Source organism: Homo sapiens, chromosome 9 (assembly GCF_000001405.40).
Source record: "Homo sapiens chromosome 9, GRCh38.p14 Primary Assembly".
In the NCBI taxonomy this organism is placed as follows: Eukaryota; Metazoa; Chordata; class Mammalia; order Primates; family Hominidae; genus Homo; species Homo sapiens.
Window position 1 is genome coordinate 108,429,092 of NC_000009.12, and position 15,959 is coordinate 108,445,050.

The 15,959-nt window shown below is 37.5% G+C and overlaps 1 long non-coding RNA gene across 3 annotated transcripts in view; it reads right to left on the reverse strand.

Moving 5' to 3' along the window:
• Positions 1-15,686, reverse strand: part of LOC105376214 (uncharacterized) — a 401,533-nt gene extending 385,847 nt beyond the window's left edge. For all 3 annotated transcript variants that reach the window (XR_007061722.1, XR_001746882.2, XR_001746881.2), the window contains exon 1: positions 15,362-15,686. This is a non-coding gene — a long non-coding RNA (uncharacterized LOC105376214). The remainder of the gene's footprint in view (positions 1-15,361) is intronic.
• Positions 15,687-15,959: the final 273 nt, after the last annotated feature.

Below are 15,959 nucleotides of genomic sequence, written 5' to 3' on the forward strand. Positions count from 1 at the left end.
AAATAATTACAGGCAATTGTTTAATTCTGCAGCGGCCTGAGGTGGTGGATAACAATTAGGGCGAACAATAGACTAATCAAAAAGCTCAAAAGAAAAAGCTGGGGAATGAGATTCCCATAGGGGCTTTGAAAAACTCTGACACATTACTGGAAATCTAGAAGGCTAAGCACCAGGCTAGTGCATATTCAAGAAAAATCTGAGAAGGCCCTAAGCTATCTCTGGTGTATCTTGTGGCTCTGCACAATCAGGAAGGGAAGATCAAGGCTGAATTATTAACTGATTTGCTGAGTGTGGTAAAGAGAGCTCCTGAGCAAAAACAGAGATATTAGACCAAAGCATTTAAGAAAATCTCTGTCCAGTCATTAGCTGACCAGTAAGCTAATGGAGCAGAGATTTCAGAGGCCACGGATGGCAAATAATATCGACTTTACAGTGTCTGGTAGTTTGGAAAAGTCATTAAACAAACAACAGAGTTAGTTTGGAAAAGTCATTAAAGAAACAGCTACTGTGACAAGCAGCAACAACAAAAACCTCAGGAAAGGAGGTAGAATTTTATCTCCAGAGTAATCACATTATATTAAGTATCCAGTTTGAGACAAATATATATATATAAGATGAGCCAAAAAAACCCACCCCCACCCCCACACACATACAAGAAAAAAGAAAGTATGGACCATAAACAGAATAAACATAAATAAAGCAAACAATAGAAACTGTCCCTGAGGAAGCCAAGACAGAAGGCTTAAAAGACAAAAACTTTAAGTCGGTTAAAATTTAAAGAGTTCAAATAAGTTAATCACTAAATGAAAATGTCAGAACAATGTTTCACCAAATACAGAATAACATTAAAGATACAGAAATTGGCCAGGTGCGGTGGCTCACACCTGTAATCCCAGCACTTTGGGAGGCTGAGATGGGTGGATTGCTTGAGTCCAGGAGTTCAAGACCAGCCTGGGCAACATGGTGAGGCCCCATCTCTACAAAAGAAATACAAAAATTAACTGGGTGTGGTGGTGCATGCCTGTACTCCCAAGCTACTGGAGGCTGAGGTGGGAGGATCACCTGAGCCTGGGAGGTGGAGGTTGCAGTGAGCTGAAATTGCACCATGGCACTCCAGTCTAGGTGGCAGAGTGAGACCCCATCTCAAAAAACATAAATAAAATATAGATATATAAATTATTCTTTCATGAATCAAATCAAAATTCTGGAACATAAAAGTAAAGTAACTGAAATGAAAAATGACTTGAAGGACTCAACAGACTTGAGCAAGAAGAAGAAAGAAGCATGGAACTTGATCTAGGTCAATTGAGATTATCTAGTCTGAGTAACAGAGAGAAAAAGGAATTGAGAAAGTGAAAGTCTCATCAACCTGCGGGACATCAACAAGCATCTCAACATATGCATAGGAAAGTATTAGATGGAAAAGAGAAAGACAAAGGGACAGAAATCATATCTGAAAAATAATGGCCAAAACTTTTCCGAAATTTGACGAAAAATACTAATCTACATATTCAAGAAGCTCAACAAACTGCAAGGAGACGAAATTCAAGTATATTCTGAACTAGTTATATCATATCAAACTGTTGAAAGCCAAGGACAGGCAGAGAATCTTGAAAGCATACAAGGGACCCTCAATAAGATTAATAGCTACTTTCTCTTTGGAAACAATACAGAACAGAAGACAGTGGGATGGCATATTCAGAGTGTTAAAAACAAAAAAAACAAAACAAACAAAAAACCTGTCAACCAAGAATTCTACATTCAGCAAAACTACCCTTCAAAAATGATGGAAAAATTCAAAATCCCCAGATAAACAAAAGCTAAGATAAGTTATTGCTGGCATATATGCTGTACATGAAATGCGGTCCCTCAGGCCAAAATGAAAAAATGTTAAACAGTTTAAATCACTTAGAGAAGTAAAGAGCATCAATAAAGGTAGCTACGCAGGTAAATATAAAAGACACTCCAAAAATTATTTTTTGTATATGACACTTTTTTTGCCTATCCGATTTAAAAGACAATTACATAAAGCAATAATTATAAATTTGTGTTGATGTAATTTGTGGAATGATAGTAGCACAAAGAAAATGGGAGAGAGAATAGAGTTATATAGAATTGAAGTTTTCATATAATATTAAAATTAAGTTGGTATTAATACAAACTAAATTGTTATGAATTATGTTCATTGTAATCCTAGAATAACCACTAAAAAAAAACTTTAAAATAAATATATATATATGGAAAAATAAGGGAGAATTAAAATTGTACACTAGAAAATATCTATTTAACCCCAAAAACACAATAATGGAGAAATACAAGAATAACAACAACAAAAACTCCATTAGATATAGAAAATAAATAGTAAATGGCAACTGTAAATCCTACCCTATCAGTGATTATATTACATGTAAATTGATTAAACATTATAATTAAAAGGCAGAGACTGGGAGAATTAATTTGTTTAATGATCCAGTTATATGCTGTCTACAAGAGAAACACTATAATTCAAAGACACAAATAGTTTGACACCAGAATGATAAAAAATATATATACAGTGCAAACAGTACCCAACAAGCATCTGAAGTGGCTTTAATAATATCAGACAAAATAGACTTTAAGTCACATGTTGTTACTGGAGATAAATAAAAACACATTATGATGACAGAAGGGTCAGCCAGCCCATGAAGAAGATATAACAATTATAAACTTATATGCACATAATGACAGAGTTCCAAAATACATGGAGCAAAAACTGACAGAACTAAAGGGAGAAATGAACAATTCAATAATAATAATGGTTAAAGTCTTCAATATCTCACTTTTAATAGTGGATAGAACAAGATGGAAGATCAACAAGAAAATGGAAGACAGGAACAACCCTATATGAAAATATATCTAACATTAACAGACATCTACAAAATAGTCCACCCAATAGCAACAGAATACACATTCTTCTCAAAGGCACATAGAACATTCTCCAAGATAGAACATATTTTATGCCATAAAAGAAGTCTCAATGGATTTTAAAGGATGAAAATTATATAAAGTATGTTCTCTGAACTCAATGGAATGATACTGAAAATCAATATTGGGAAGGAAATTCAGGAAGTTCACAAATATGGTAAAATCAAACAACACACTTCTAAATAACCAGTGGGTTAAATAAGAAAACAAAAGATAAATCAGAAAATATTTTGAAAATATTTTGATAAAGGAAAACCAAAACACAACATATTAATGCTTATGTGATGAAATAAAAGCTGTGCTTAGAGGGAATATTATAGCTATAATCGCCTATGCTAAAAAAAGAAAAAAATTCTCAAATCAATAACTTAACCTTCTATCCTAGGAAACTAGGAAAAGTAAGCAAAACCCAAAGCAGGCAGGAGGAAGAAAATTATTAATAAAGATTAGAGAAGAAATAAACAAAATAGAGAACATAAAAATAGAGCAAATTATTGAAACAAAAGTTGGTTCCCTGAAAAGATCAACAAAATTGACAAACTTCAGTTAGGCCGACCAGGAAAAAACAAAGATAACTCACATTACTAAATCAGAAAAGAAAGAGTGGACATTACTCTTGGCTTTACAAAAATAAAAAGATAAAAAAAGAAATACTATAAACAATTGTAGGCCAACAATAACAATAAAAATCTAGATGAAATGGACAAATTTCTCAACAAACACAAACTACCAACACTAACTGAAGAATCAATAGATTATGTGAACCTATAACAAGAAATGCAATTATTAATCAAATTGGCTTATCAGAATTATCAAATATGCCTCAATATTTTTATTTTTAACTATAATTTTGTGGCCAGTTGTGAAGATTTGCAGGATGCAATATAAAATGCACTGCCCCTCTAGGTAGGGTGAATAATATTCCTAGTTTCCCATGGTTATCAAAATTGAGTACCACGCTATTCGAATTTGCTATAACGTTTTGTTATTTTGTTCTCCCAAAAATAAGCAAATAAGCATTTGTAATCCTTTCCCAGGTTTCAGGACTTGAAAGAATTCCAGCTGACTGACCGAATGTTTAATCTTCATGAAACCAACAAGATGGTGGCTTTTGGAGTCAGGCCTGGGAGAAAATTCTAGCTCTTTTGCTTGCATTGCCTGTGAGACCTAAGACAAGTCTCTGATAATCTATGTCTTCATTTTATGGGACTTTTGGGAATAATACTGCTTTCTTCTAGTATTGTAAAGAATAATTGGGTTAGAATAAGTGCATACCCTTGCCATCCATGTAGAAGGTATTTGTTGATTCCCAATTTATGCCTAGTACCCTGCCAAGTGATACAACTGTAAGCAAAACATGGCTCCTACTTGGATATGACAGTATTGTAAGGAAGGTACTTTCAGTAACAATTAATATCCTTTTCTTCATTTCTGTCCTTAGAAGCAGAATTTTAAGTTAAAAGCTATATCTCATTCTGGTTAACAATGAAAATGACTATTTTAAAGGTGGTGAGATGTAGATTGATACGATTTTTAGCCTCCTTTTACAGCAGTTCTTTATCTTTGTGTGTCTCCTGAGTATGGAGGGTTGAAAGAATACTTTAAAAGTTGAGTAAATAGACCAAATTCCCGTACTTAATGAATAAAAACAAAATGTGTAGAGGACTTACACATTTCCTAACAAATTATAGACACTAAATCAGGCTTGCAAAATTCTTATCTGTAAGAACTGTTTGGAAAATAATTTACTAATATATTCCACAGCTCAGAAATTCAACTATAGGAACAAAGAATGCTGGTATCCAAAGAACAATGATTAAGGAGTGGTCACAGGATACAGGATAGACACCTTCCAAATGAAGTGTGACCTGTGGCAGAGTTCAATGGTGCAAAAGATATGGTAAGATCTTTATGACAGAGAAAATTTAAAGAACTTTCCATCACTGGGGAAAGTCATGCTTAAAAGTGAGTGCCAAATGACAATCTGTCTTGGTGAGCAGCTTTTACAAATCCCACCAGCAAAGGCAAGGAAAATAATAAAGTCAATTGGAGTATCCCAGTTTCGATTTGACAACTTCTGGTCATAAGAAGAAGTGCTTTCTTCAGAAGATTTCCAGGTTTTTTAGCTGACATTTGTCCTAACTCTTAATTATATTAATTATATATAGCACCATCTAGTGAAATAACTTAGAATACTTGGGTTTTTAAAAGACAAAATTAAAGAAATGGGTAAAAACATAAATCAATGCAAGTTGTGTTTTTTAATGATGGGTTGAGCAAGAATTTGCCTATGTTCTTACCTGAAATGTATTTTTAAGTGCTTAGATTATTTAAGGACGCTTTTAATTCAGTCAGTCACTTGATATAGTGATCATCTCAAGGATGGTTTGGCATTACGGGGAGAGAAATGTCGGAGTAAGGAAGGATGGAAAATACTGATTGTGGAGGTAATAAGTGGGGATAAATTAAGGGCCTATGAATTCCTGAAAAGAGGAGAATGTGCAATGGTGTGCTAGAGCCAGCTAGTACCACTGGAGAGAGCCAACTGCGTGTATCTTTCTTTCTCCAACTTCTTGCTCAGTGATGTCTCATTGGTAGCTTCAGGTCAGCTGGGGTGAGATTATTTACATAATGGATATTGGCAAATGCTATGAATCACAGCTACCCACCCCCAGAGAAGCAGCTGTTAAACATTTATTAGCACATCGCCAGGACATATCAGCATCTGATCCTCCCAACTGACCACAGTCCTTATAGATAGAGGCCAGATAGAGGGACTGGTGGTGGCTAAGGACCCACAAGCAAAAGATATCTGAGTCTAAATGACATGTGGTTTGTTGTGCTAACTAGTGACTGTAAGCCCTTGACAATATGTCAGAATTGCCCAAACTTATGAAAAAAAAAAAAAAACAGTTCAAGATACTTCATATTTCAGCAAGCAATGGAAAATGTCTCCAGCACCTTTGAGAAGAAATAAATCAGGTGCTGATTATTAGCTGCAGGAGGCTAATGTGGAGGCTGAATGCAGGAAAGAGTGTGGAGGCAGCCGAGTCAGATTGCAGACAGGGCTTGACCTTCACCAATGGGGTAGCCTTGGGCAATTTGGACACTGGGCTGTTTCTTCAACTAAAAGTCAAAATGAGACCACTGGGGTTTTCTTTCTTTAATTAATGAAATCTTTTCTTCAAATCACCTCTTACATATAATATCAATACTCTCTAGTAAAGATTAGTGTCATTTAAAAGACCAGCCCCCTTGTGAGATCCCCAAACTCCTCTGAAAACCTCAGAATCCCTTGTAAAAGTCATTGAGTTAAACTATTTCCAAGAGTACAATTTCCCTTCCAACACTGATATTCTAAGCAAAGAATTGGCTATCAGCTTCACTACCTAATTTCCCCGTTTACCCAGAGGTATGAGCTTCCTCTTTCTCCAACCAATCTAAGGAATTTGGGGGGAGTGAAGACAAAAAGTTGTTTATCTCCATAAATGCCCCCAGAGACTCTACTCCAGATGGGTTTTCAACCTACTAATTTCTGAGCGTAGATAGGTGTTCAAGTTATAAGGACTTGATGCTGATGGAAATCATACCTGGACAAGATCTCTCCATCCCATTCCAAAACTTCACTTGTTTTGAAAGTCCGGATGCATAAGTCGATTACCTATCCTAATTTAAAGTATCCTGATCCTACATGAACCTGCTTTGAAAACTATAATATTTATCAAGAGATAATGGTCAAGAAGGGTTATATTTTCTTATGCTTTAAAACATTATTTATTATCAAGAACAGAAAAGATATCTGATCATTTCAGAGCCAAAATCCTCTCTATGGAGAGTCTGTAGCTTTTTCACTTGAAAGTCATTACGATTCTAAGTGACCCAAGATTGTTCAGATAAAGGTAGTATCTCCCCAGTCCGTAACAATTACTAGGGGGCCACAGGTGGAACTGCATATCAGAGAATACACACTGATGGGCCAGGAGCCCATTCTAATTTCCACAGAGTTAGAAAGAAATTTAGATTAGTAGACAACATTTAAAAATTGAGAAATAGCACATGAAAATTCAAATTTGTTGCTTTGGGTAGGGAAAACAAACAGCATGTAACAAAATTGGGCCAAATTCCTGCCTGGCAACCATCAGCTGGGCTGAGAGCTGCCATCCTTTAGACAGGGCACAGGCCTGTTGTGGGCTATAGTCCCCATGCTGTACATCTCCCAATTTCCCACCCTCAACACCCACCAACAACACCCATTGGGTTACTTCCCTGTCCCTGCCTGAGTTTGCACTCCTTGACTTACGGCCATACCAGACTGAGCTACAAGTGACACTGGGCCTTTCTGAGAGAAGGAAACATTTTTAGACATGATACCCTTAGAAGCAATATTTGCTGGGGCCTGAGCCCTGCCCGGGCCCGGAGAGATAAAGATGCTCCTTGCAGGTAAGAAGGCACTTAACTTACGTGCACACTGAAAACCTGATCTGCCTTGAAGACGAAATGGGAAGTTTGTGGTTGAGCACATTTATTTCTGAACTTAATGACATGGAGAACCACAAGGCTACCCACAGTATCAATTTTTCATAAAAAAGGAGAAAGGCTATTGAGTCAAATGTTCCAAGAGTGGCTGATGCAGGGAATGGTATATTTATAGCCTGGATACACTGACAAGAATGACTTGCTCAGTGGAGAAAAGTAATAAGAGCTACTATTATTGAACACTTGCTTTGCATTCTTTCTGTTCTCACACTCACTCAGAAGGGTTTTATATTTACAGATAAAGACATCAAAGCTCAGAGGTGCTAGTTAACTTGAGCAAGTCACACAGCTTATTACATGGCAGAACCAGCATCCACTGCACTGGCTGACTGCAAATCCATGTCTTGTCTGCTATGTCATGCTGGCAATTGACATTTAAAATGGCTCTTTGAGCTCTTCAATGTAATTTCTTAAAGATTATTTCCATTGAGCCCTTTTACAAGTTTATGAGACAGAGGAATCATGATCCACATTTCACAGATTAAAAGTTGAAGCACAAAAAAATTAAGTCTTAATAATTAGTAACTAAGAATGAGTACCCAGGTTTTCTAACTTCTAATCAAGAGTTCTTTCCACTTAATAAGATGAAACACCTACTTTGGACTGAGTGTTTGTGTCTTACTCTTCAGACACTTCATGTTAGAGAGTTGTTATGTTTTTATATTATATAGATGATTTGCATATCTTTTAATGAAAGATTTTTTAATTATTTGAAAAGAGGGCTACAAAATAAAAAAAAAAAAAACTTTCAGATTATTCTACTCATTAAAATAGCCATGCCTCTTTTAAGGTAGCCAGTAAAACTTGTCTATAACTAAGGTCTACTTATAATTTCAGAGATAAATTTAGTCTTTTGTGGCAAAGCAGTTGACAAGGAAAATAGGTCTGGGTAAAATACTTTTTTGTTTTTCAAAATAGTACAACCTAGTTTAGAAGCAACATAAGTTACCAAAGTGAAGCCACAAACTGGAATTTTTTTAAAGGTGGTATGGGGAGTGGGGACAATCAGTGGTTTCAATAGATTGATTTTTAGTGTTGGAGAATACATTTTTCTATGGTTTTACAGGTCAGATATTCCTACAAATAGGGATGTAAAAAAGGCAACCATGAACACTAAAGAAATAAAATAAATTGTTATAATACTCTGGAGAAACACAGTTTCCCTATAGGCAGTTATGCCAGGAGAATGTCTTCTAACTTTCTTTAGAGTGTTTCCAATGAATTCATAGATTTTTCCCAAGTTGGAAGGAGCCATCTGTTCCACCCGCAGACACACATGCCACTTTCTTCTTTCATGTCAACCCTCAGACAATAGATGCCTGAAAGTCCAAATCCAATTTATTCTATAAAAAGGAACAGTTTTTATTCCCCTCATTTGATATGAAGGCAGTGCTTTGAAATCTCTTCCAGAGGGGAGGCAGAGGCTAGGGGTGGGCTGCTCCAGGCTTTGGAGGATGTAACAATCTCATGCAGGGGATCAACACTAAGGAAAACCCACAGGGGCCCTGGAAGCAGAAAGACTAGAAGATGGCAATATTAGGGTGGGGACAGGAAACAGCAATCTGATCATGAACCCTGTGCTAGGAAGATGGCAGGGAACAGGATGGAACTCCATTTTGGAAGATTCTTACAACGATGATCACTGAAAGAAGAAATTGATAGAACTTGGGCATGGCTTCACAGTGAGTTCTGGAATCTAGACCTACAATTTCTTAAACATTGTCTATCCTTCCTCTTCTTGTCCCAGAGGTTGAATCAAGGTTGAAACTACAAGGGGAACTCAAGAAGCTCCCCAACTATAGTCCAGGAATGATTGCAGGGATAGGAAACCAGGCATATCATTGGACTGCAACAGAATCATGAAGCACCAAAAGGCGCCGTCTCCCTAAGTTGGCCTGACAAGGACATCGGCTGTGTGCTCAGCTGCAGAGAGCTGAAGAGAGTTTGCTGGGGTAGTAGACATACCCCAAGAGCATGGATACAGTCCCGTTGATACAACAGATGTCTCTCACTGCACACACGCTAGAGGCTAGGAATGGTTCCAAGCCCTTCCCCTGTACTAATTCACTCCATCTTCGCCCTATGAATATGAAGTACTACTATTATTCCCATTTTTCAGATGAGAAAACTGAGGCACAGAGAGAATGAGTAACTTGCCTTATAGCTACTCACTAGATCACAAAGCTAAAAAGTGACAAAGCCAGGGTGGGAATCCATTTTGGTAGACAGAATAATGGGCTCCCAAAGATACCTATGACTGAGTCCCCAGAATCTATGAATATGTTATCTTTTATGGCAAGAGTAACTTTGCTGATGTGACTAAATTATGGATCCTGAGATGGGAAGAGTACCTTGGATTATTTAGGTGGATCCAATGTAATCACAAGGGTCCTTATAAGAGAAACAAGAAAGTCAGAGTCAGTAATATGAGAAGTGATGTCAGAAGCAAGAAGTTGAGTGATAGAAGCAAGGGTACCTGAGTCAAGGAATGAATGCAGATGGTCTCTAGAAGCCGAAAAGGCAAGAGAGATTGATTCTGCCATGAAGCCAATAGAAGGAATGCAGCCCTGACAACATCATGATTTGAAACTTCTCACCTCCAGAGCCGTGAGAGAATAATTGTGTGTTGTGTTGTTTTGAGCCACTAAGTTTGTGATAATTTGTTACAGGAGCCACAGGAAATTAATAGACGCAAGCAGCCTAACCCCAGAGCCTTTATTCCTAATTATTCAATTATATTATCTTTCCAGTGTTAGATGTTAATATTTCTAGAAAATACTCCATAAAAGGAGTTTCACATTGGTTTCAAGGTCTCTCTTGTTTAGCCCCATAGTGGCTGGTGTATGTAGGAATTTATTACTATATTACATTGCTTGTGATGTACACAGATCTGATATTCATCTCATACACGCTAGTGAGACAGTAGCCATTGTTAAAATGTTGAACCTTTTTTTCAGTTGATAAATTGTCCCATAGATCCTTTCTGCTATTCTGGACACCTTGGTCCCTTCCTTGGGACCCCCCAGAACTTCCCATAGTCAAGCTCCTAAAGGGTTAAAGCTGTACAGGGAAAGGGTCCTCCCCAACTCAGCCCCAACTCCAAAGCCTGAGTCCACGCTAATGGTCAGTGGCCACGCCAAAGCAGATATTTAATATTTTGAACAAAACCCTAGGATACATACATGCTGACTGATAATTCAGGATGCCCTAGAATTTTTACTTATGACTAGAGTTTAACAATATTTTTATTATCAATGAAAGGAAATAAGCCTTTTTAGCAAAATAACTTTCTACAGAGCGCAACAGTTAAACTCTCAGAAGCCCAGATCTTGGCCTCTAAACTCCCCACTTGAATCATGATGTCCTCAACTGAAAAGCGGCCACTCCCAACAAGCCATATCAGTGAATTCCTCAAAGGTTTGACTTCATTATGTGTCTCTTTTTCAAGTGAAACTATGTGGGCATCACACCCCTTATTTTGTCTTCTTAACTAGGACAAGAGAACTTTAAAATCAGATAAGTACACTGTGTATAAAGTATTATGAAATGTCATTAACAACTTTTTCCTCTGACATCTCTGGCTTCATTGAAAAGGAATTTCACGTCCACTCATGCCTCATATTCTTAGTCTCCCTGAATAATATAACTGGGTGAATCACTGTTTTCCTCAGAAGATGCATGCCGGGCTATAGCCTGAAACTCTGTTCAACTGATGATAATCCTAAGCTGTGAAAAGAATCCTTTCAGGAAAAACTATTAAGGGATTATGTCACTATCCCTTACTCTCTGAAATATGTTATGGTGTGCTGGTAAATAGGATGGAGTACCAGGCTTTGGAGTTATACCAACTTCAGACCATCCCTTGCTTCCCTACTACCAACAGTGTGACCTTCACAAGTTAGCTGACTTCTAAAATCTGTTACTAGAAAATGAAGTAATCATTTTCTTCTTGCACTTTGGTCAAGAGAACTAAATGAAATAATGTATTAACATGCCTACCATAACACAAGTGACCTACAGGCTATCAATCCGTTAGTTCACTTCCCAGGGTGTTCATGTGAGACATAAGTGAGAGGCCTAGGTGCTAGCCCAGTACTTTCCAAATTGCTAAATGATGTTTTTAAACGATAAAGTATCAAACCCATCTCTCCTTGATAACTAAGCTTGCTTTGCTTTATAGTACCAAGCAAAAGGAGGAAAACCCATGCATAGGACAAAGGACTTGTAAAAATGTTTTTTGAACCCAAACTAAGTGCAAGCATGTTTTGCTTGTAAGAAGAGGAGAACTATGCAATGGAGAACTCCAGGCAGAGATCAAGTCAAGTATAATTAAAATCTCCCAAAAGCTGCATACAGTGGTCATCCTGAAGGTGGAGACCACCATCCTTCTTTGCCTACTAATCAACCTTCTGCTTTTCCATCAACGATTTTTTCTATTTTCCATAAATTCTAGAAAAGGAATTCAGAGGCCCAAAGTTGCCACTTTTGCCACTTCCAAGTAAGACTTTTAGAAGGGTGATCATAGCTCTGGGATTCTGTTTCTTTCTTTCTCCAGGCACACTACAGGGATAAGATGAAAGAACAGCCGCTTTGCAAAAAGATGGGGAACTGGAACAAGCCATGACCCCCAAAATAGACATGAAGATACAGAGACTGTATTTTTCTACCCAATAGCCCAAAGGAGAAACTCTTCAATTAATAACACTTTTGATACAAAGCCAGACTGCCCAAGATGACTGCCTAAAAATACACAAAAATCTAGGAAAAACAAGCTCTCCATCCTGGAGGGAATGTCAATGGAAAATAGTTGCTAGGCTTTTCCAGTTACCAGTAATAAAAGAAAAATAGGCTCCCCATTATGAATCCAGTGCTGGAGGGCTCGTCAGCTGGTTCTGAGCCAGCTTTGGTATTTTCTGAGTGCGTTACAAATTACAGGAACAAAATGTGGACTTTTCACTCTAACCATGTTTTCTAAGGCCAGACAATTTATTATTAGGTTTACTTCCTAATGGTCTATAGTTGGAAAAGATGTCTCCACGTATGGATAATATTTATAAGCTTTTAAAGCACACATATTCTTATTATGAACAGCAATTACACAATGTGCACAGATTTTAAATGAAAGAATTAAGAGAAATTCAAACAGAAATTAATAGGACATGAATCCCTTCATTATTAAGCATTATAATATGCATAAATATTTGTTGATCTATGTGATTTTTAAAAAATAAGGACTGAGCAGGAAGTATTAATCTCAAAATGCAACCTACATACATATTCTGCATTTCACTTCCTCATAGAGATGTCTTCAAGGGATCTCTATGCCTCCAGTTATTATTAGGGTAACTACAACAAACATCTGTTAAGAAGGCTTCTGCCCATTTAGTTAGTTGTGTACTGCTTTTCTCTGCTAGCAGATTGTGAAGTCTCTTGAAAGTAGGGTCTTATCTTACTCATCTTTGTCCTAATCCTTAATACAGTGTCCAACTTATAGGAGATTTTTTAAAATGTTTGTTGAAGGAATTCCTCTTGTGTGAGCTGCAGGTGAAGGCATTTTCCACTGTGTTTCTCATGGAGTCATATAAATATCCATAGAGTTAATTTCCCTTAATGTTATGAGGGAAAAAAGTCTTCTGGAGTGTTCTCTTTCTATATGTAATAACAGCAATACAGCACATTGTGTTTCTCTTTTCTACTGGGATCTCAGGATGCTCAAGGACAAGTTTTAAGCTCAACTGCAGTCTTTCTCATTGCCTAGAATTTCTGATACGAAAACTTCCCACCTTACTTTCTCTTTTTTCTGGCTCTTTATCTTTTATCCTTGTTTTATGTTAACGTTATTTTAAGCTGCCTCAAATCCTTGATAGAAGAAAATAGGAACTGAGTAAAAAATAATAAATGAATAAAGAACTAAGATAAGAAGTTAGCAAAAATTTCTTCCCAATGACTTCTTATATATGCTGCAGAAATATCCTCAAAATGCTATTACGTTATATCCATGAATATTTCATAAGTTTCAATAGAAATAAGCAGAGCAAACACAGGGTGATATCGAGGAAAAGACTACTGGACTGGAAAACCAGCAGTACAGGTTAAAGTTCAGTCCCTGTCCTTCACTAAGTGTGTGACCTTGAACAAGACACCTACATTTGTGAACTTCAGTCTCATCTCATAAATGGACTTCATTTATTCTTTCACCAGACATTTACTGAGTCCTTACTTACAACAGGGATAGTGGTAGGTGCTACAGATGTCAAGTAAATAAAACAAGCGCCATGCAATCAAGTTAGTGCACAGTCTAGTAAGAGAGACAGAAAAGCGAACAGATTACAGCAAAATGTGATCACAGCCACACATAAGGTATTGGAGCAACACAGAAGGGAGATGTCTACATCAGCCTGGAGACTTCCACAGGATTTGAAAGGAGGCAGTGGTTGTGTTGATTTTTAAAGTTGACTGGGAATTAACTAGATGAAAAATGGGGCAGGGGAGGGGAAAGAGGGCATTCCAGGACTCAAGAAACGCACGTGTGAAACCACAGAGACAAAGAACACCATGACAAGTTGGGGGAACTAAAAATTGTTGGAAGATAATAAAATACGTGTCCTGTCTACCTCCCAGGGTGATTTTAAGGATCAGTTGAGGGGATGTATACATTGAAAGTGCTTTGTAAACTGTAAAGCAACATACACGTATTCAAATGTTAAAGATTATTATAAGACACTTGTTTTTTCCCCCTGCAAATTAGAAACATTTGCTGAAGTAAACACTGTTGATGCATTAGCTGTCAGGATAGTGTATTATATTTGGAAAACATTTGCCAATGCCTGTTCAGTTTTTGAATTTCCAGTCACATGTGTTTTTTGTTTCAGCAAATGCATCAAGTAATAATGGATTTATTGTTAATTGTGCAACGTTGGAGCTTCAAGGTTTAAGTAATCTCCATTTCGTGTTGACTTTATTCCATGTTGACTGTAGAAGTTTGCAGTCTTTATTGATTAATGAAAAGTGATAACTGAGCACTATTACCACCTTGTATTCATCAAACTTTTATCAGAAGAAATTCAGGATTCTGCACGTAGACAAGTGTGCCAATAAAAGCATATTCCCTCCGAGAAAAAGGAGGGAAAGAGGTGTGGTTATCTCCACTTAAAACAGCTTTCCAAAGAGCTCCAATGGAGCTCAGATTCAAATACAAACTTCCCCATTTAACACTTCAAAAATGAAATACTTCCTTCCGAGGAGCATTCTCCCCTGGTTAGAAAAACCAACAAAAAGCATTTGGGATAGAAAAATTGGGACGGATAACTCATGTTCAAAATTCTTGACATTCATACACTATCAGTCACTGGAAGGTTTGAATCACTATGTTTAAAAAGTGCTTTCACTTTTTCCCTCCTGCCTGTAGGAGGAAGATATGAGACAGAGAAGGATAATAGGATTTTTTTTTCATGTTGCAAACAACTTGTCTGGGCTCTAACTTTTCATATTAAACCCTCAGAAAGAACTGTTGTGTCCTGCCCCTGCTCCTCCTTGCAAAAGAGAAACGCTTCTAGTCTTGGAAGATCTGTATTTGCCATGAATTTTATTTTGAGTCATGACTAAGCCACTTATTAGCAATATTGGTGATCAAGGTCTCCTACAGCACATGGATGAACTAAGTAATATGTACATTTATGTCCTTTTGTGTAAAGGAAAACTTATCAAAGCTGGACAGGACCTGAAAAGTTATTCTGTATGGCACTACATTTTATGGATGAGAAAATTTAAGAGAAACGTAAGCTAATTTGTTTAAAGCCAGGCAGTGAATACATGGCACAGTTGGGATTAGGAGCCTCCAGGGTGGTTCTCCCACACCTACCTCGCTGTGGATAGAGGCTGACATCCAGGGAAAAGGCTTGGGAATTGCAGTTGCATGGGGTGAGCGGCCTCAGGCAAGCAGTCCACCTGGTGCCACTCAATCTCACCACTCACCGGGGCTGTCAAGTCCCTTCTTCCAAAAACTAGTGTCCAGAGGACTGGTCCACAATGCCCCTGAAGCAGGTGGCCCCTGCTAGGTGAATTGAGTGCTGTTACAGCTTTGGCAGGGTTCCCAGGCAAGCAACAGCCCCTGCTGTGCCTTGACAAGAGAGGTGGCTGAACCTCCGGACAAAATGACTTGCTTTAGAGACAAGCAGGGAAAATATGATTTGTTGTAGAATTCCTGTTAGTCCAGTCAGCTCCCATCCTCTTGAGAAACCGGATTTGTAGGCACATGCACTGGCCAATGAGTCAGCCCTTAAAAAGTCATTCATAATTTATGTATAAACAAGAATAGCTTTTGTTTCAGGGAATTTGGGAGGTTTTTGTAGCCTGCTTTCTTCCAGTACCATTTTTGAAGAACTGTTCCTGTCTCAAGGCTATTCCTATAGGCCTATAAATACTTTGATGTTCAGACATCTGGAACTTATATTTGGTGT